This window comes from Homo sapiens, chromosome X (assembly GCF_000001405.40).
Source record: "Homo sapiens chromosome X, GRCh38.p14 Primary Assembly".
In the NCBI taxonomy this organism is placed as follows: Eukaryota; Metazoa; Chordata; class Mammalia; order Primates; family Hominidae; genus Homo; species Homo sapiens.
In genome coordinates this window covers 80,797,590-80,818,511 of record NC_000023.11, presented here as the reverse complement: position 1 = coordinate 80,818,511, position 20,922 = coordinate 80,797,590, and the positions used below count along the sequence as shown (strand labels likewise).

The 20,922-nt window shown below is 39.8% G+C and overlaps 1 protein-coding gene and 1 long non-coding RNA gene across 7 annotated transcripts in view, besides 2 other annotated features; one reads left to right on the top strand and one right to left on the bottom strand.

Annotated features, from left to right (window-relative positions):
- Window positions 1,988-2,736: an enhancer, noted in NCBI's record as "OCT4-NANOG-H3K27ac hESC enhancer chrX:80071275-80072023 (GRCh37/hg19 assembly coordinates)". NCBI's record gives its function as "activates a minimal SCP1, AML or CMV promoter by ChIP-STARR-seq in primed H9 embryonic stem cells {active_cell/tissue: H9 hESC(primed)}" and the evidence as "EXISTENCE:reporter gene assay evidence [ECO:0000049][PMID:30033119]".
- On the bottom strand, window positions 5,742-9,704 carry LOC124905202 (uncharacterized). Of its 3 annotated transcripts, none has more exons than XR_007068278.1 (2): window positions 9,219-9,704; window positions 5,742-6,401 (listed from the first exon to the last, which is right to left on the bottom strand). It is a non-coding gene; the product is annotated as an uncharacterized LOC124905202 (long non-coding RNA). The 3 variants fall into 3 exon arrangements; XR_007068276.1 differs by lacking the exon at window positions 9,219-9,704 and adding an exon at window positions 7,937-8,359; XR_007068277.1 differs by lacking the exon at window positions 9,219-9,704 and adding an exon at window positions 8,267-8,359.
- Window positions 8,321-8,400: an enhancer, noted in NCBI's record as "active region_29790". NCBI's record gives its function as "activates an Ori minimal core promoter by ATAC-STARR-seq in GM12878 lymphoblastoid cells {active_cell/tissue: GM12878}" and the evidence as "EXISTENCE:reporter gene assay evidence [ECO:0000049][PMID:35858748]".
- The window catches only part of BRWD3 (bromodomain and WD repeat domain containing 3), a 140,375-nt gene continuing 128,087 nt past the window's right edge, over window positions 8,635-20,922 (top strand). For all 4 annotated transcript variants that reach the window (NM_001441339.1, NM_153252.5, XM_047441957.1 and 1 more), the window contains exons 1-4: window positions 8,635-9,071; window positions 9,208-9,266; window positions 9,470-9,499; window positions 9,914-9,973. In NM_001441339.1, the coding sequence (NP_001428268.1) occupies window positions 9,041-9,071; window positions 9,208-9,266; window positions 9,470-9,499; window positions 9,914-9,973 (180 nt within the window). In that variant the 5' untranslated portion in view covers window positions 8,635-9,040. The remainder of the gene's footprint in view (window positions 9,072-9,207; window positions 9,267-9,469; window positions 9,500-9,913; window positions 9,974-20,922) is intronic.

Genomic DNA, 20,922 nt, shown 5'->3' with positions numbered 1-20,922 from the left:
TTATTAATATATTTGAATTTATATCTGCCATGTCACTTTTTGTTTTCTTTATGCGTGGTGCTCTGTTTGTTTCTCTATTCCTTCTATACCACCTTCTTTCGGATTAAGTGAATCTTTTCTAATGCAGAATTTTAATTTCTTTAATGATTTTTTACAATACATTTTTGTTATCTCCTTAGCTATTGATCTAGAATTTACCTTATACATCAGAATCAGCTTCCAATTTATACTAATTTAATTCTGTTGGGAGACAAAAATGTTATTTCTGTATTGCTTTACTTTACTTCCTTCCTTTTTGTTTTGTTATTGTTATACAGGTTACATCTATAAATGTTACAAACCAAACAATACATTGTTATAATTATTTATATATATGTATACTTTTAAAGAAGGTAAGAAAAGCTAGTATATATTTATAGCTTTTGTTAAATTATTAATTTTCTTTTTTTTTTTTTTTTTTTAAGACAGAGTCTCACTGTGTCACCCAGGCTGGAGTGCAGTGGCACAATGTGATCTTGGCTCACTGCAACCTCCGCCTCCTGGCTTCAACCCATTCTTCTGCCTCAGCCTCCCGAGTAGCTGGGACTACAGGTGTGTGCCACCATGCCTGGCTAATTTTTTTATTTTTATTTTTAGTAGAGGCAGGGTTTCACCATGTTGGCCAGGCTGTTGTCGAACTCTTGACCTCAGATGAGCTGCCCACTTTGGCCTCCCAAAGTGCTGGGATTACAGGTGTGAGCCACCACACCCAGCCTTGTTATATTAATCCTATTTATCATTTCTTGTTCTCTGCATCTGTTCCTGTGGATTTAAGGTGCCATCTGGAATTACTTCCATACCCCAATACGGCTTTGTTCCAATCCATCTTCTTTTTGCTGTTATTGGCAGATACATAATATTTCTATACGTTATAGGGTGAACTATGCATTACATACACATTGTTTCATAAAATTGTTTTCTAAATAATTTAAGAAAGGAGAATAAATATGCATTTATATTGCTTTTTATAATTACATAACTATCTTTACCATTGCTTTTTGTTTCTCGTGTGGATTTGAATTACTTTCTGGATTCAGTTGCTTTCAGCTTAAATAACTCTCTTTGGTATTTCTTGTAGTGTAGGTCTGCTAGAAACAAATTTTTCTCACTTTATCTGGAAAAGTTTATTTTACCTTCAATTTTAAAGTTAGCTTTGCTGAATATATGACTTTTGTTTAATGAATGGTTTCATTGGGCACATTGAGTATGTTATCACACTGCCTTCTGGCCTCCATTGTTTCTGGTGAGAAGTCAGCTTTTAATCTTCCTTTGTAAGTTTGTAAGTGATGAGTCATTTTTCTCTTGCTGCTTTCAAGATTTTCTCTTTGTCTTCTAGCATTTTTATTATAATATGTCAGCTTGCGGATCTCTGCACTTATCTTACTTGCAGTTCATTGAGCTTTCTGCATGTGTTGATTAATGTTTTTCAATAAATTGGGAAGTTTTTAGCCATTATTTCTTTTTTTTTTCTGCTTCCTTCTCATTCTTTCCTTCTAATAGTCCCCTTACACATATGTTGGTGCATATAATATCCCATAATTCTCTGAGGCCATCTTCATTTTTCTTCATTCTTGTTTTCTCTGCTCTTTAGAGTTAATATGCTCTATTAATCTGTTATCAAGTGTGTTAATTCTTTATTCTCCCAGTTCGAATGGACTCTTTTTCCCTCTAGTGAGTTTTTCATTTCAATTATTGTTCTTTTGAACACCAGAATCTCTATTTCATTTTTAAAAATATTTCCTTTTTATTTATATTCTGTTTGATTTGACATTGACATCGTACCTTCTTTCATTTCTTTAATAATAGTTTCCTTTAGTCCTTCAAATATATTTATCATGGTTACTTTGAAGACTTTGTCTACTAAATCTGACATCTGGTAATTTTCATAGGCAGTTTCTGTTGCCTGCTCTTTTGGTATTGGTGTATAGTGTATAGTTTATACTTTCCTGTTTATTTGCATGCCTCATAATTTTTTGTTAGAAACTAGGTTATTTTAGATAATATATTGTACCAACCCTGGGTACTTGTTCTTCCCACTCCAGGTCTTATTATTTTTGTGTGCTTGTTAACTTCATTGTGTGAAACTGCTGATGTTGTTACTCAGGGGGTACAGCCTTGGGTAGGCACATAATCACCCTGGGATAACACTGATTTTGGCAGGGCTCCCTTTAACTGCCTCTTTCCCTGACCACAGCCAGCTCTTAAATCACGCTAATTACCGGCTGATTGCTCTTTTGTTTTCGACAACACCCTGGGGCACAAATTGCTTCACAGACTGATCCAATCAAATTTGGGCACCTTAGTAGGAATATTTTCTTAGGTTAGTGTTTAAGACTTGCTCTGACTCTTGGAGGACTTTTTTGCTGCCCTTTCTCTCTGTTTTCTCTCCAGCAAACTGGTTGGCCTACAGTTTAGCCTATAATTTTAATAAATTTACCAATTTCCCCCAATTTTCTTTTACCATAACCTTCTTTGTTCTTGAGAGCACCCTTAGGCTTGAATTTTTCCACACTCAGTTGCAAATAAAGTCAGTTATTTTAGGGAGAGATTCAGAGCTCTCTCTTCTAAGACCTACCTTTCCCTTAGGGCAGAATCTCTGAGCCACAATTCTGGTCCTGGAGACTGGAACAATGGCATAATTCTCTCTGATATCTCTGCTTGAGAACATGAGTGCTTGGTGGAGGAAGGAGACAATAGCCCTTAATCTTTTTAGCTTGCCTCTCTTAGAATGCATCTACTGCTCCTCACTCAATCCAGGGTCAGGGAGATCGATGCCCCAGTATGCTCAGTAGCACCAATGCCCAAGATTTAGCTTTGTCCTATGGTTAGGGGCTGGGTGGAAAAAAGGAGCCACCACCTCTTGGCCACACTAAACCAGAACTTAGCCTCAGCAACAGGTAATTGGGGGAAGCATGAGAAATGGTTATGTCCTGCTCCTCCTAGGAAGATAGCCCTCTAACTGAGATCTAGGAGGAATAAGGAGTCTTGTATTTTTGGATGTTTCAGTCTAGAGTAGAGCTCACCTCTTCACTGGGCTTGGAGGCAGGGTTGGAAGAGTGGGTTTTGGTTCATTTACCACAAACTTTCACTGTCCTTAAAATTTTAGTAGCTTTTTCTTGAATAAATGATTTTTCATTTGTTTTATGTCATCAGAAACATTTCCAGAGACTTTAGATGGTTGTTTATATAATTTTCACCAGTTTCACTGTGAGCTGGTTCACAAAGTTCCTCATGCTGTCATGACAGAAGTGGCATATATCCATTTACATGTAATGTTAGTATTGATGTAGGTGGAATTATATCTATATTAATTTGGTTTTGATATCTCATGTCTTTTTTGTTCTATTCCTCCTTTCCTGCTTTCTTTTGTACTAAGTAAATATATCCTAGTAAAATTTTTGATGATTTTTTTCACATTTTAAAAATTTTCTTAGTGGTTGCTCTATGGTTTGCCATATACTTCTTAGCTTATCAGAATATACTTCAATTTTTAAAATTTAATTTAATTTTTTTTAGAGACAAGGTCTTGCTCTTTTTCCCAGAGGTGGAGTGCAGTGGTGCAATCACAGCTCACTGCAACCTCAAAGTCCTGGGCACAAGTGATCTTCCCACCTCGGCCTCCTGAGTAGCTGGACCTACTGGCGTATGCCACCACACCTCACCGTTTTGTTTTTCTTTGCAGAGACAGGGTTCTCACTATGCTGCTTAGGCGGGTCTCAAACTTATAGCCTCAAGCGATCCTCCCACCTTGGCCTCCCAAAGCACTGGGATTACAGGTATGAGGCACCATGCTCAGCCTTATACTTCATGTTTATATCATCTCTTTTGAGGTATACAAATGCTACGCTTTTATAGCTCTATCGTGTCTCTTTTTTCCCATTATTATTATTCATATTACATCCATGCAATATGTTAAAATATGTTAATATATTATGATGTATGTAATATATTAAACATAAGAATACATTATTTTAATTATTACTCTATACAATTTTTTAAAGAAGCTGAAATAATAAAAGGAAGCAACTATTTACTTAGTTTGTTATATTAATCTTATTAACACTTCTGCTCTTCCGTCTCAGTATTTCCTACCATTTTTCTTTTCTTCTGCCTTCCTAGGGAGAACCATTAAGTTTTTAACATTTATATTCCATTGCAATGTGATTTTTTTCTTTTTTTAATTTGAGACAGAGTCTCACTCTGTTGCCCAGGCTGGAGTGTAGGGGTGCGATCTTGGCTCACTGCAACCTCCACTTCTTGGGTTGAAGCAATTCTTCATTCTCTTTTTTTCTTTCTTTCTTTTTTTTTTTTTTTTGAGACGGAGTCTCGCACTCTTGCCCAGGCTGGAGTGCAGTGGTGCCATCTCGTCTCACTGCAAGCTCCGCCTCCCGGGTTCACGCCATTCTCCTGCCTCAGCCTCCCTAGTAGCTGGGACTACAGGCACCCGCCACCACGCCTGGCTAATCTTTTGTATTTTTAGTCGAGATGGGGTTTCATCGTGTTAGCCAGGATGGTCTCGATCTCCTGACCTTGTGATCTGCCCGCCTCGGCCTCCCAAAGTGCTGGGATTACAGGCGTGAGCCAGCGCGCCCGGCATGCCTCAGCCTCACTAGTAGCTGGGATTACAGGAGTGCACTACCATATCCGGCTTTTTTTTTTTTTTTTTTCTGAGATGGAGTCTTGCTCTGTCGCCCAGGCTGGAGTGCAGTGGCGCGATCTCGGCTCACTGCAAGCTCCGCCTCCCGGGTTCATGCCATTCTCCTGCCTCAGCCTCCTGAGTAGCTGGGACTACAGGCGCCCGCCACCACGCCGGGCTAATTTTTTTTTATTTTTAGTAGAGACGGGGTTTCACCGTGTTAGCCAGGATGTTCTCGGTCTCCTGACCTCGTGATCCGCCCGTCTCAGCCTCCCAAAGTGCTGGGATTATAGGCGTGAGTCACCGCGCACGGCCCTAATTTTGGTATTTTTAGTAGAGATAGGGTTTTGCTATGTTGACCAGGCTGGTCGTGAACTCCTGGCCTCAAGTGATCTGCTCGCCTTGGCCTCCCAAAGTGCTGGGATTACATGCATGAGCCACTGAACTCGGCTTATTCTTTTTAAAGACCAAAGTAAAATAAAAATGTGTTGGTGGATTGAATTGTGTCCTCCAAAAAGATGTCCATGTCCTAACCCCAGTACTCGTGAATATGATCTTACTTAGAAATAGGGTCTTTGTGGATGTAATTAAGTTAGGGTTCTGGAGATGAGATCATCCCGGCTTAAGGGTGAGCCTGAAATCCAATGACTGGTGTCCTTATAAGAAAAAGGAGAGGAAGATTTGACATGTCATATGAAAGAAGGCCATATGAAGGTAGAAGCGGACATTAGAATTATGCTCTCACAAACCAAGTAATGCCAGGAGCCACCAGAAGCTGGAAGAAGCAAAGGATTCTCCCCTAGAGCATGGCTTTGGCAAACACCTTGATTTTGGATTTCTGGCCTTTAGAACTGTGAGAGAACAAATTTCTGTTGTTTTAAGCCACCCAGTTTGTAATAACTTGTTATGGCAGCCCTAGGAAACTAGTATACCTACCAAGTAAATACTCCAGATTTATTTTCTATGTAGATCAATTTTTGCTTCAGTTTATAAACATTTTCCTCCCTGTCCATTTAAGACTTTGGCCACAGGGTTAAGAGTGGTGATTCTAATTGTTCCAAAATACTTCAGAACATTAGTCCCCATTTATTAGTATTGATCTTGAACAACAAATAAACACATTTCATGGGAACACATACATTTCAATAACTTTCCTATTCCCTATCTAGGCATTACAATCAAGAAAGTAGCAGGGAAGTTGTGCCAGTTCATCAATTTGTTGCTTATCATCTCCAAATTCACCATTATTGACTGCTCTGTGAAAATGGATCTGATCCATTTAAGTATTTTTCCTTTTGTCAGCTGGCAATGAAGCTTTTCCAGTAGAGGAAACTGGAAAGATGTTGCAGAGAGAAAAGGTTTTGCTCCCTCCTTCTGGCCGGCTTACTGGGTAGGGTGTTCCTGCAGCTTGTGCAGCTCTCTCCAGTGGCTGGCTTCTGTGTTGCAGTTTCAATAGCACCAGGCCACTTCCCCTGGCACCCTCCCTCTTGTGGTTTTTGTAGTAGAGTTCCTCTGCTGAAACATTTCCCTATGAACATCCTTCTCAGGCACTCTAGCAGGCCAATTCCAGAGGGTGGGTTTCCAGCAAGTTCTAGAATGCAGGGTTCCAGTAATTTCCAGAGGTTGGAGTTTCAGCAAGTTCTGCCTGTAAGGCAATACAGAATATTTCCTGCCATAGAGTGACTCTCCACTGGCTGTGTTCTCTCTAAGAAGGTCTGGATCTCAGCTAAGGGAAGAGAATGCTTTATCTCAGTTCCAGGGGTAGTGGCTATCATATCTACTATTATATACCTGCTACATCTGTAGTATTTAGAGTTCTCTTTACTTCTTGCTAGCTAAGCCCTCATTATTCCAATTTCCTGTTATCATTAATAATTGAACTGACTGATACAGAGGTGATCATGGAATAACTGCCACATAAATTTTGAAAGAGTACACAAATACATTTTCACACGAATTTTATAACAATTCCTTGAAGTAGACATGGCAAATACTATTTATTATTCACATTTTACAGGTGAGGAATGAGGTTCACAGGCTGTGAGTGGACCAAATTCATAGTCATTTTTATCATTTGTAAAATGAGAATAACAATTGAACCTATCTCCTAGGGTCATTGTAAAGATTAAATGAGGTAAGCACGTAAAAGTGCTGAGGACATGATAATGGCTTGTTAAGTGTTAACTGTTACATACAGGTCAAACATCCCTAATCTAAAAATCCAAAATTCAAAATGCTCCAAAATCCAAAATTTTTGAGTGTCAACATGATGCCACAAATGGAAAATTCCACATCTGACCTCAAGTGGAGGATCACAGTCAAAAGGCAGTCAAGACTTTGTTTCGTGCACAAAGTTATTGAAAATATTATATAAAATTATCTTCAGTCTATGTGTATAAGGTATAAATGGAACAAATGAAATTCAAATTTAGACTTGGGTCCTATAGCTGAAATATCTCATTATGTATATGCAAATATTCCAAAATCTGAAAAAGTCCAAAATCCAAAACATTTCTGGTCCCAAGCACTTTGGATAAAGAATACTCAACCTGTACATTATACTTCAACTATAAAATTATTCAGTCTGGTATTTTGCTAAACTACTTGCAATGAGTTGTCTAGGTCTCATGTATCTTTTTATATCATTTTGTTGTATCAATTATTCATATTTGTTTTGTCAAGTTCCATGGCAATAACAACCAAAGATAAGCCTATCACTTCACAATTACCTCCTGTGGTTATTGCTTTCTGAGGAAAAAAAAAAATTACAAGTGAGAGCTAATCAACCTAGGCTAAGTTTATGTCAACTTAGAAATTCAAGGCCCACTGTGGTCAGTGGCAGAGCTGAGTGAGGAAACCCAATTCCCAAGAATATAGCCTTAAATTTAGATGAACCTTCAAATTGTAATATTTCAATGTAAATAATACATGCAACTTAAAATGCATTTCTGGTCTCATCAGGTTTAGGTGAGGGAGTGGGGTGGGGACAGGATGTTACGGGAAAGTAGGGAAGAAAAGGACCCGGTTTACTAATCTGTGTCAATTATCATACCAACCCCTTTCATCATTGAAGATTTCAGCAACCAAATACTGAAGGTCAGTGCGGTACCAAGGGTTGGGGTTATATATTAAACAGTGTAGTCCCGAACCTGTAGAAAACTATTGATACCTTGCATAGAGATAGGCAATAATACATAAAGATTATTGAAAACTCTTGGTTAAAGTACTTTAGTAGTATTTGAAAACACAATAGGAAATTACCCTGTAGGAATGGGATGTGTTAGATCCCAGCCGTAGATACGGCACGTGTTAAACTTTCAGAAGGGGAAACATGCTTCACGGCTGATTGCAAATTTCTCATGCAATATTTGTCAGAATCCAGGAGCATTTTAAGTGGTCTTCTAACAATATAAGCCCCGCACTTTGGACTGGTAAGTACAACATTTTCATTTGGTAAATAATAATAATTTTAAACAGAAACAAGTCACGACCAAATAGCGACTCATCCTCCCCCAGGCATAAAACCCTTTAGCCAGCTAGCCGCCTTTCCACGGGGTAGAGTATAAACAGCAAACAAAACCGCTTTGGTACCGGGAGGAAAAAGGGGAAAGGAGTCGAGTCAAAACACCGTCTCTTAAGTTCCTCAAGATCAACCCAGGGGGAAGGGTCCTCCACCGGAAAGGGCCGGATTGCCTTCACAGGAAGGGAAAGTCACTCCGGAGCTCGCAGACGCGAATGCCACCACAGAGTTCCAAGGCGGCTGCCAGAGCGTCGGCCGTCAGTTAGCACCTCCCCCTCCTTCCCAGAGCTGTAGCTAAGCAACCATCGGGCTCCGGGAGAGTCTAGGCTCAGCTGCTGTATTAGTGCCTCTAGCGGGGAACTATGAGCGCTGCAAAACCCTATCACCATTTTTACCCTCCCCTCTCTCCACCCCCTTTGCCCCCGCCCACCTCTTCGCCACTTCGGCTCCTCCCTCTTCTCGCTCCGTCTATCTCTCTCTCTCTCTCTCTCTCCGCCCCCCCACCCCCCGCGTCTCTCTCTCTCTCTCTCTCTCTCTCTCTCTCTCTCTCTCTCTCTTTTTCCTCTCTCTCTCTCTCTCTTCTCTCTCTCTCTCTCACTCACTCACTCTCTCTCTCCCTCTCCCTCTCCTCTCCTTCCTCCTCCGCCTCCTCAGCTCTTGGGCTAGAATATCTATGGGTCGAAACGTGATGCGATGAATTCGAGAGAGAGCGAAACTAGGACGAGGAGTGCGGCGGAAGCGGCGGGACTCCCGGGCATGGGGGCTTCACCACAATAGAGGCAGCGCCCCCACCCGCCCCCGCCAGCCCCTCCGGAGCGAAGCCCCCAAACCCCCTCGGGAAAAGGATGGCGGCAGCACCTACCCAGATCGAAGCCGGTGGGTAGCTGTGTCGGGGGGTGGGGGGGTGCTAAGGGAATGGGGGCTTAGCGCGAAGGCTGTCAGTTTCTTTTGAAAAAGCTTCTATTTCTCTTCTCTACCTCCCTCTGAACCTCTTTTCCCCCCTCTTCCCCAGAGCTGTATTACCTGATCGCTAGGTTCTTGCAGTCTGGACCCTGCAACAAATCCGCTCAGGTAAGGGGAAGAAAGAGATCTGGGAGTCGTGGTGAATGGTCCCAGTGGGGAAATCGAGGCAGCGGGACGAGCAGTTCCGTTGAGGGTGAGGGAAAGGCCGGCCTTGACTAGTCAAACGGTCAGCGGCTGGGCTTTAAGTGTGGAGGGAGGAATGGGTTGATGGCCCGAGCTGCTCCTCATATCTGTGTTTCCCTTTTGCTCAGGTGCTAGTGCAGGAGCTCGAGGAGCATCAGGTACGGAGCCCCTTCGGGAAGGGTGGGGAGGGTTGAGGTGAGACTGGAGGAAGGGGAGGGCAAGTCAGGGGCGGAAGACGGGCTGGGATAGAGGCTTCGATCTGGGTACCCGTAGCTGTTGTCACCGGGGTGAATTGGCTTCTTCCCTCAAAAGGGGCAGACAACGCTGGGGTCTTAACTCGTCCCCGCTTTATGCTTGTGGGAGGCAGTTTTTCAGGATTTCCTTCTCGACCCCCCTTCCCCCCCCCCCCCATATACTTGTCTAGCTCTGAGCCAATAGCTATCAGGCCGAGAGAAATAAAGACGGTAAAGTGTTGAGGACTGGGACACAGGTTGGGTCCAGTTGATGGGGAGCGGAGGCTTTTCCTTCATCATTTGCCTCCGCTTCCCCCTTTCTTTTCGTCCGGCCCCCAGCTGATTCCGCGCCGCTTAGATTGGGAGGGGAAAGAGCACCGAAGAAGCTTCGAGGATCTGGTGAGTAAAGTTTTCATTTCAACTTAACCTAACTCTTTCACCACTCCCTCCCCACCTTGTACCCCCAACCCGCCCCCCACCTCTCAGCCGACGAGGTTCTAGAGCTCGGTGCAGAGCCAAAGAACGACTGCCCCTTCCCCCATCCCTGCTAGTCGGAAAAAGGGTACCTTGCCCTCCCCTTGGCCCTGCTTGTTTCCACCCGAAAACTTTGAAGAATGTGAGTTGATTATCAGAGGTGCCGTGTTGTGGATTATGAATATGTTACAAACATTGGGGAAGGCCCATTGTAGGCGGAAAAGGGAGAGAAACCAAGGGGTTATCTTGGGGCACGTACTAAGGTCTGACGCTGGCCAATGACAGCGTTGGTAACAGCCCGGAGTTCCGGATTAGTGGAAGAAAACTGGTTTCTGGTTGGTCCTGGCCTGAAATACGGGAACTAAGGCCAGGCTTGGTCTTTTTTGGGGGGGGCGGGGGGGCAGGGGGGAGGCGTGGGAGGAAGGGGCTCTGGAGGGGAATTGACGGACCAGGGATTAGGAAAAACGACATAATTAAAAATAATAAGGAGCGTCAAGCCAATTTCAAATTTTGCCGGTTAGGTAATGGTCTACTGAGTAAAAGCATAATCGTTACGTATCTCCGATTTTATAAGCTCATTCAATTATCAGTTAAGTCGCATTTGCATAGACCCGTTTTCACTAAATAGAAACTGAGTTATCACTTTTTGAGAATTGGTGAAACACGATTTTGGGTTTACAAGGAGACAACAATGGACATATTTAAAAATGGAATATACTTTAGTGAAGGACCAAAGGCATTGGTCTATGTTGTTTCTCCTGCAAATATAATTCATAGTATAAATGTACCTTGTGTTCAGCATTGACACACAAAAACAGGTGATCCTTTTTATTTTGCGGGGGAGGTTCCCTTGTGTTAGCTGCTGCCACAGTGCATTGGAGGGTAGTGAAAGGAGAAAGGAATGATGTTACTAAAATCTAAATTCAGCTATCTTTCCTTCAAGTAAGATCCAAGTGGAGGAAAATCGGACAAAGTTAAAGAAAGTTGGCGGTGTATGATAGACTCTAAATATAAATGATTTAAAATTTGCTTGCAATAAGACTATATTTAAATTGCTTCAATGTTCATTTTGTTATTTTTGTTTGTGTTATCTTACAACAGTGAGGCCACATTATTATTATCAAGTCTACCGACTGTATAGTTTTCTTATATTTTGCAAATCACAGAAAATGGTATAATTGTGATAAGGGTAAACTCGACCATCTGTATTATTAATAGTAACAATTTCTCAGATGGAGAAAAATTAGTTTTGAAAAACTTCATGTACTGCCAGGTTAATTTGTAGTCAGTCTTTCTGTTGGACTTAAGTCTTTCCCTCCCCCTAAAAGAGGCAAAAACAACAGTGCCTACTAATATGTTTTAACACTTAATGACTGATACAGGTTTTTATATATAGTTTTAATACTGAGGTGTATTGAAAATGTTTTCCTTTACATTTGTCCTTCTCACAGCCTATATGTGTTATTTTAAGCAAGTGGCAAAGGAGATTAAAAGGAAAAAGCTTTTTTGAAACTAACTTGACAGTGATAAAAAGGAAATGAAAATCAAAGTAATTAAAAAATAGTCTCCTCACCAAAAAAACCCCAACAACCCAGTTTACTAGACTTTTCCTCATATTGTAAAGACATTTTTACATAATTGTGATCAGTGTCCATTTTATGCTTCATATTTTTCTTAACATTTAAAAATGTACTTGTGTATTTGAATAGTCATCATTATTTTAATGGTAAGAAAAAATTCAGTTGTATTTAAGGTACGATATGATTTGAACCAAGCTTCCAGTTGAGCATTTGAGCTACTTCCAGATTTTTACTAATAACTTTGCATAGTTAGGTGGTCTTTTTCTGCTTTTTACTTTCTCCCCTATCCCTTCTGCCCCCAGTTATTTTCCTGGACTTTATTCCCTAAAGTGGAGTTACCAGGTCAAAGGGTCTCATGAGTTTTATAGCTCTTGTCATATATTGTTTGCTCTCCAGAAGATTGTACTAATTTATAATGTCATCATCTAGGTATTTAGAGTGAGTTTTTTAATAGCTTTAAATCATTCAGTTTCTTTAATATTTAATAGATGGCAATAGCTCCTGGTTGACTTAAGTAGCTCTTTTTTTTTCATTACTAGTGAGGCTTAACCTTTAAGGAATTAAATAAAATTGTTAATTCTTACATATACTCAATTTTAACGTATCTTTTAAATATTCTTTTCTGTTTTTATATTTTCTATTTTTTTTACGTACACAGAGTTTGTTCTGTTGTTTGAACATTATAGTTTAGATACCATGGTTTTCTTTTACATGTCTGTTCTCTACCTATGGACTTCTTTGTAAGAGAAGATGGGCAGGGTTGAGTGATAATTTGAACAGAAGTGTAGTGGCTGAGAAGTGAATGTGCAGTGTTGGTTTGATTGCTAAGTTTGTCAGTAATATTTTTGATTAAAATTATTTCACATATGACCTGATTTTGAGTGGCTGCATTGTAGAAGAGATGGGATACTTTTTCTTGGGGTAGGTGTTTTTGTTTTTTTCTTTTTTTTGAGAGGGAGTCTCGCTCTATTGCCAGGCTGGAGTGCAGTGGCGGGATCTCGGCTCACTGCAACCTCCGCCTCCCAGGTTCAAGCGATTCTCCTGCTTCAGCCTCCCAAGTAGCTGGGACTACAGGCACGCGCCACCACGCCCAGCTAATTTTTGTATTTTTTAGTAGAGACGGGGTTTCGCCATGTTGGCCAGGATGGTCTCGATTTCTTGACCTCGTGATTCGTAAACCTCAGCCTCCCAAAGTGCTGGGATTACAGGCATGAGCCACCGCGCCCGGCCTGGGGTAGGTATTTTTTAAATTGTTATTGGAATGATAGATTTATAAAGTGTGGTCTTTGATTTAGCTGCATGTTTTGGATTGAAATTTAGGGCAAAGTATTAATAGTATCATCTTGATTTACCTGGAATATTACATTATATAGCAGCATTACAAACTTAAGGTGTATTGGGGTATGAAAAGGAAAGAGTACAAATGTACAATGAAGTGTTAACTAGGATATCAACATAGTAAATAGGGGTTGCATGGCCACGTATACTGCATATATGAGACAAAAATCCTGCCTTTTTGTTCATATGTATACTTTCATTTGAACTGATTGTCATTAATGCTTAATTTATCAGAATAATATTAAGGTAATGATAAATTGAATTTCTTCAACATTTCATTACTACTGTTAGTAGTAGTAATGAAATCCTTACCTTCTGTTTTCTGAAACAATCATCTGATTCAGTGTTTATACTAAATTACATATTCTAGAAATCCTTGCCTTCTGTTTTCTGAAACGGTCATCTGATTTAGTGTTTAGTGTTTTACTTGTAATTTTGAACACAAGGGAAGGTGCTTTTTTATTAAAGCTGCTTGCAGTTAAGTATTGACGTATCCTGATCTGAAATGTCATTTAAAAAAGAATCTGTACATGATGAAGCATTTTGGTCAGTTTATGTTGAACTGTAAGATTTTTGAATATGGCATTTAAAATATAACACTCTAAATTTTCCAGAATTTTAAGTAATGATAGAGGGAAAATTTTGAAGTTGTGATTGTTTCTGAATTTTCATCTGGGCACTTTATTTTCTGCTTCCTAGTTGGCTGTTACTGACCACATAATAGAATAAGATTTGCTTCTTGCAATTCATCTTAAGGTAGATAATTTAAATAATACAGATGTCCTTTCATTTGTGGTGACCCTATTGAGTTGTTGGCTAATTTATTGCTTCCTCCTTGGAGCTTTACTGGGGACAACAGAGTAATCAAGGTTGTGTGTGTTTAAATGAACAGTTCTTGTTAATCTATAAGTTTTATATATTGAAATGGTGATTTGGAAACTTTTTAAAAACCACATTTTAAGATTTTTAAATCATTTTTAGGAGTCTCGTATCATAAGACTGAACCAGGGCCTGGTGTGGTGGCTCATGCCTGTAATCCCAGCACTTTGAGAGACTGAGGCAGGCGGATCACTTGAGGTCAGGAGTTCAAGACCAGCCTGGCCAACATGGCAAAAGCCCTTTTCTACTAAAAATACAAACATTAGCCGGGTGTGGTAGCTCATGCCTGTAATTCCAGCTACTCAGGAGGCTGAGGCATGAGAATTGCTTGAGCCCTGGAAGCAGAGGTTGCAGTGAGCTGGAATCGCACCACTGCACTTCAGCCTGGGTGACTGAGACTCTGTCTCAAAAAAAAAAAAAAAGACTGAACCAAAGTTATAAATGTGTTTAGGTGTGGTATATAGTTTTACATTTATTTCGCATTTTCATCTCTAAAACTGAAAGCACCAGTTAGCGCTTACATTTGGAATGACATAGATTGTATTACCCTCATTTTATATGCAAAATACTAGAAGTAATTTTATGTTTTTTATGAAAAACTTTTATAAAGATTGTTTGTTATTGTCCTTAAAAAATATACATACATCTATGATTATATGTTGTTATAAGAAGTTGCATCTGCATATAACACATTCAAGTTTAAAAGTGTTTTCACATTATCTCATTTGATCCTCACCAAGTACTTTAAAACACTGTATTTAAATTCCAGACATACCTGTATTCTTTTCTTAACCAGCTGTTGTTCTCCAATTACTAATAATAGCTTAAATTGTCAATTAGAATAGCAGAATGATCTTTGAGTGCTGGTAGCATAGTTATTGCATCTCTAAGTGTGGAAGCAGTTTAAGCATGTTTGATTTATTAACTGCCATGTGGACATAGCCATAGTTAGGAAGAACAGGATGCATCATGGGATATCAAAAAGCATGCTCTGCTCAACCCCAGTGCAGTGTATTGTGCATATAATGCTAACTGATAGGTATTATGACAGAGAGAGGTCAATATCTGGAAATCGGTATTCCTGACTACTCCTGACTACTGACTTGCTTGAGCCACCACGCGCTCTCTGAAATATATTGGCTTTAGCGATTTGTCTAGATTGATCCTTGGCATTTTTTTTTCCACAGATGGGCTCTAAGGAACGTACTTTCAATGATTTAAAATCCTTTTGGAGATTTATCATTAATCTTAGGATAACTGGTATCTCAGTACAAATGAGATACTGTGAAAGTGAAGAGAGCTGGTGTTAGGGACTAATACTTTGGATTCAGTGAACTTGCCTTAATGAAATTTTGTCCTGAGCATCTTTGTCACATTTGAATATTAGTTTTAGTTCCTGTGTTTTAGTTTTTGTTTTACTACTGATGTTGATTACTGATTGATTAATAAACACTTTCCTTTTGGTAGGCAGCAAAATGGTATTCTAAAAAGGTAGTTTAGTGTTTGTGTCATAATTTAGAGATGCCCTTGCTTGACATTTCTTTTTTTTTTTTTTTTTTTTTTTTGAGATGGAGTCTTGCGCTGTCGCCCAGGCTGGAAGGCAGTGGCGCAATCTCGGCTCACTGCAAGCTCCGCCTCCCGGGTTCACGCCATTCTCCTGCCTCAGCCTCCTGAGTAGCTGGGACTACAGGCGCCCGCTACGCCCGGCTAATTTTTTGTATTTTTAGCAGAGACGGGGTTTCTCCGTGTTAGCCAGGATGGTCTCGATCTCCTGACCTCGTGATCTGCCTGCCTCGGCCTCCCAAAGTGCTGAGATTACAGGCGTGAGCCACCGCACCTGGCCTGCTTGACATTTCTTACATGGGATTTTGTGAGTAGTAGAAAAGACCCTAATATTTAGTATGGAATATAGCCTTTACTTGTTGAGTGACCCTAGGGAAATTACTTAAGCTCTCAGAGATTGACTTTCCTCAATTATAAAATGAAAATTTCCCATTTATTGTGGGGAACAAGTGAGTTAAATGTGAAAGAATGCATTTTGTTAATTGTAAAATGCTGTGCAAATGAATTGTTCGCTACATTTTAAAATTAGGATAGAGAGACCGAATAGCCAGCATGGAAATCTGGAGAACTATGACCCCAGATGTTATATTTTCTTAGTCGATGAGATATCATCCCCTAATTTTCTTAATTTTTAATTTTTTTTTTTTTTTTTTTTTTTTTTAAGATGAGAGTCTTGCTCTGTCGCCCAGGCTGGAGTGCAGTGGTGCGATCTTGGCTCACTGCAACCTCCGCCTCCCAGGTACAAGTGATTCTCCTTCCTCAGCCTCCCAAGTAGCTGGGATTATAGGCGTGCGCCACCAGACCTGGGTAATTTTTGTATTTTCAGTAGAGGTGGAGTTTCACCGTGTTGGCCAAGGCTAGTCTTGAACTCCTGACCTCCAGTGATCCGCCCACCTCAACCTCCTAAAGTGTTGGGATTACAGGCGTGAGCCACCATTCCTGGCCCTTAATATTTTTATAAAGTAAGGGGCATATAAAACAGTACTATAAAAAAAGAATATTTAAAATGTTAGTGTCAGAATTGAACTCAGAATGAGTGAGCTGTTTCTGTGTTAACACAAACATGAATGTATGTCAAAAGATATTTAGTGTAATATGCATTTTTTATGAATGCCAGTGTAACACTGGTGTAGTATTCACTTTTTTTTTTAAACAAATGGGAATTTTATTGTGAGTCTTTCATATGTCTTATTGCAGGGATTCTCAACCCTTCTGATTGTATCCTGAATTTATTTTCTATATATTATTGAGATTTATTTACTTATTTATTTGAGACAGAGTTTTGCTCTGTGACCCAGGCTGGAGTGAAGTGGCACTCACTGCAACCTCCACTTCCCGGGCTCAAGCCATTCTCCTGCCCTAGCTTCCAGAGTAGCTGGGATTACAGGCATGCACCACCATGCCCACGTAATTTTTTGTATTTTTAGTAGACGTGGGGTTTCACCATGTTGGTCAGGCTGGTCTTGAATTCCTGACCTCAAGTGATCAGCCCACCTACGCCTCCCAAAATGTTGGGATTACAGGTGTGAGCCACCACACCTGGCCTAATTTCTCGTATTTTAAGTTACCCTGTTTAAAATGTTTTCTCGTCCGGGCGCGGTTGCTCACGCCTGTAATCCCAGCACTTTGGGAGGCCTAGGTGGGTGGATCATGAGGTCAGGAGTTCAAGACCAGCCTGGCCAAGATGGTGAAACCCTGTCTCTACTAAAAATACAAAAAATTAGGCGCGGTGGCAGGCGCCTGTAATCCCAGCTACTCCAGAGGCTGAGGCAGGAGAATCCATTGAATTTGGAGGGCGGAGGTTGCAGTGAGCCCAGATCTCGCCCACTGCCCTCCAGCCTGGGTGACAGAGTGAGACTCCATCTCAAAAAAAAAAAAAAAAAAAAAAAGATGTTTTCTCATGCCCCTTAGTATCCGCCATTGTGTCTTATAGTTAGCTGGGTCTCAATTATTTGTGGTTTTCTTAACTTTTTTTAGAAGCATGATATATATAGATATATATATTTGGTTTATTTTATCTGCTAGTTGGTACTGGGTTCTTTTGTTGGACTTTTCTCTACTGAGCACCTACTAGAATGTGGGTGGGTCCCCTGTCCTTGTCTTAATTTCATCTGCCCTCAGGTTATAGTGCTTTTCAGTGCTTTCTTGAGGCAGTGTAAGCCAGAGAATACTTGACCCTAGGAGGGTCGCTTCTGGTGGTCTCTTTCTTGAGGAAATCTTAAAACTAATAAAAAGAAAAAGAAATGCTATGCATAATGATTAGCATTTTCAAAGGTGAGTGATAGGAAGTTTTAACATTTTGTAAGAGCAACTAGGGAAAGGCCTGCCTGCTGTCTTTTTTTTCTTTTTTTTCCCCTGCCCGGTTTTTCACTTCTCTTTCAAATTCAGCAACCATTAAAACACAGCATTTGATTTAGGTTATTGTAGACATCAAAAAGAGAAAACCCAGTTAATTTTTTATGTTTTCTTTTATGTTCAAAGAGAAAAACCAGTTAATTTATGTTTTCTTCCAGTCTTGTTTTTTTTTTTGTACAAGTATTTGTATTTGTATTTTTTTTTTTTTTGAGACAGCATCTCACTCTGTTACCCAGGCTGGAGTGCAGTGGCTCGATCATGGCTCACTGCAGCCTCCACCTCCCGGGCTCAATCAATCCTCCCACCTCAGCCTCTGATAGCTGGGACTACAGGCATGCACCGTCATGTCTGGCTAATAATTTTACTTTTTATAGAGATGGGATCTCACTTTTTTTTGCCCAGGCTGGTCTTGATTTCTTGGGCTCAAGCGATCCTCCTAGGATTACAGACCTAAGCCACTGTACCCTGGGGTTTTTCATTAAAAAAAAAAAAAAAAGAAGCCCTTCTTAATAAGGAGATATTATGCACTAGTTACCATGCAGAATTGTATTGGGTTGGGGTGCCTTTCTCTTTGCTTGGAATGCCCTTCTTTCCCTTTCTGTCTTGTGAACTTTTCTTATATTTTTCAAGGGTGAAACTGGACATGAACCCTTAAACCTCTAGGCAAAATTAGGTGTACCTTACTTCTTTGCTTCCTTAGTTCTCTACTGACCTCTGGGCACTTGCAGCTTAATTTGTTTCTATTTACTATTTTGTTTGCTCCTCTAAGACTATGGGTTCCCTTAGGGCAGCAATTTAATCTTCTTTCCATTGCTTTCCTATACTTTAAATGGCTGAATGAATGCATGAGTGGATGACTGTCTTTGTCCTAACCGAACTTTAGTAGATAGTTATCATTACTGTTTTACAGATGAGGAAGTTCAGGCTCAGAGAGGCTAAGAAACTTTGCCTAAGGTCATATAAGTAGTAACTGGGATGCTGCAAAGATTCAAATCAGTCTCTCTACTGGATCATACTGCCAAAAAAGAGTAACAGCTAGTAAATTTTAGTTCCAGGCTCTCAGACTTCAAAGTACCCTGTTATCTCTGTAGTACACTTACATTGATATAAAGCTTTGCTGTATTTTTCAAAATCCATTTTGTTTTCTGTCCCTAAAGAGCAAAAGATTACATGACTAACTTTTGTATATGCCTGTTCTGTCCTCTAAATCAATCAACCAATCAGACCCAGGCAAAATGTTACATTTTACTTTTTGAGCATGCAATCTCAGTTTGCTTCTTCATTTAACTTCTGTAGCCATGGTCTTGGAAAACAAATAGCGTATTCTCTGCTATATTTGTTTTTTAGAGTTACTTGTCTGATACTATTATTTTTAAAAGCCAGGGTAAACAAATATTTTTGGTGTTTGAAAGTTAGTATTTAGAATGTAGCTCCTGGTGCAGTCCTGGCCTCCTGAGATTTGCTACCTTTTACATTTTATTCAGTGCCCAGCTGGATTTCTTTTAACTAATTATGATGAATAGTATCATCTCCGTGAGTTTTCTGATTTTCTCAGTTGTCATAATGATTCTGAAGTATGGTAATTCAGTTATTAGATTTGCTCTTCAGGTCAGCCAGTCTAACTATCAAGAAGGTTTATAATCTAGGGTTAATTTAATGTCTTTCAGTTTATTCAGATTTACAGTTTTCATTGCTTTGCAGCTTTGTGTTAATGATTGCTATCATTATAATTTTTCAGCTGCCTTAAGAGGACAGTAGTAGAAAGAGGAGTGGGCAGAGAAACCCAGATTCCTGTATTGTTTCATTGTAACAATTGGACAAGGCACTTCTGGATCTGTTTTCTCTTCTGTAAGGTGTGGGGTTAGGTTGATTATACATAGGGATCCTTACATTTCAGAGATTCTATAATTTAACTTTTAGAGCTGTTTTATAGAATAATATAGAAGTTTGAATTATACTCTTAACAAAAACCTTTTTTGGTAGAGATGGAGGTCTCACTATGTTGCCCAGGATGGTCTTGAACTCTTGGCCTCAAGTGATCCTCCCATCTCTGTCTCTCAAGTGCTGAGATTACAGGCGTGAGCCACCACACCTGGCCTTATATTATACTCTTTTTTTTTTTTCCCCGTATTATACACTTAAACTTTGTTTATAGAGAATGTTTTTCTTCTGCAGGCCTCAGAGCACTTAACTGTTCCGAGTCAGCCATTATATTCCAGAGAGATAAATGTAGTTAAATGACTGAAATTAGAATGTTTGAGCTTTAAACAAAAAGAGTGGTTTATAATATTAAGACATGAATTTTATAGGCTATGATATAACAATATAGATTTATTTAAAAATGTAAAAAAAAAACTATTCGGGGTAAGAGTTCTTATTTTGAAAAGATCACCTTTAAAAATTTCCAGCTTTAATGAAAAGCAAACAGATTCAAGTAAGCAGTTAACTACCCTTATAAGACCTAAAGTTTGATTTAGAAGAAACATTTTAAGAACTACATCGATATAGTTTGGAAGCCTGCTAATGTGGTTTGAAGGAGAAACTAGCATGTTTAAACTCAAAAGATTGTTATTGCCATTATTTTGATCAAATCTGTTTCTCTAGTGTTACAATCATATTTTATTTATTTATTTATTTATTTAATTTATGTTTTTGAGGTGGAGTCTCGCTCTGTCGCCTAGTCTGGAGTGCAGTGGCGTGATCTCGGCTCACTGCAACCTCTGCCTCCCGGGTTCAAGTGATTCTCCTGCCTCAGCCTCCCGAGGAGCTGGGACTACAGGCGCTTACAACCAGACCCAGCTAATTTTTTGTATTTTTAGTAGAGACGGGGTTTCACTGTGTTAGCCAGGATGGTCTCCATCTTCTGACCCTGTGATCCATCCGCCTCGGCCTCCCAAAGTGCTGAGATGACAGGCATGAGCCACTGCACCCGGCCATATAATCAAATTTTTATTGATTTTAGAGCAAAGGACTTTTTCAATGTAACTGCTTAGAAATCGAGCAATTTTCTATTGTATAGAGTGAAAGTCAAACTTGTTTATTGTACAAGTCTTTAAAGGGATAGTTAGGAGTAAGTTGTATTTGCTGAATATATAGACCTCATTTGTAACCATTAATGATTCTGTATTTTTGAATTATTACTGAGTGATTGATAAAACT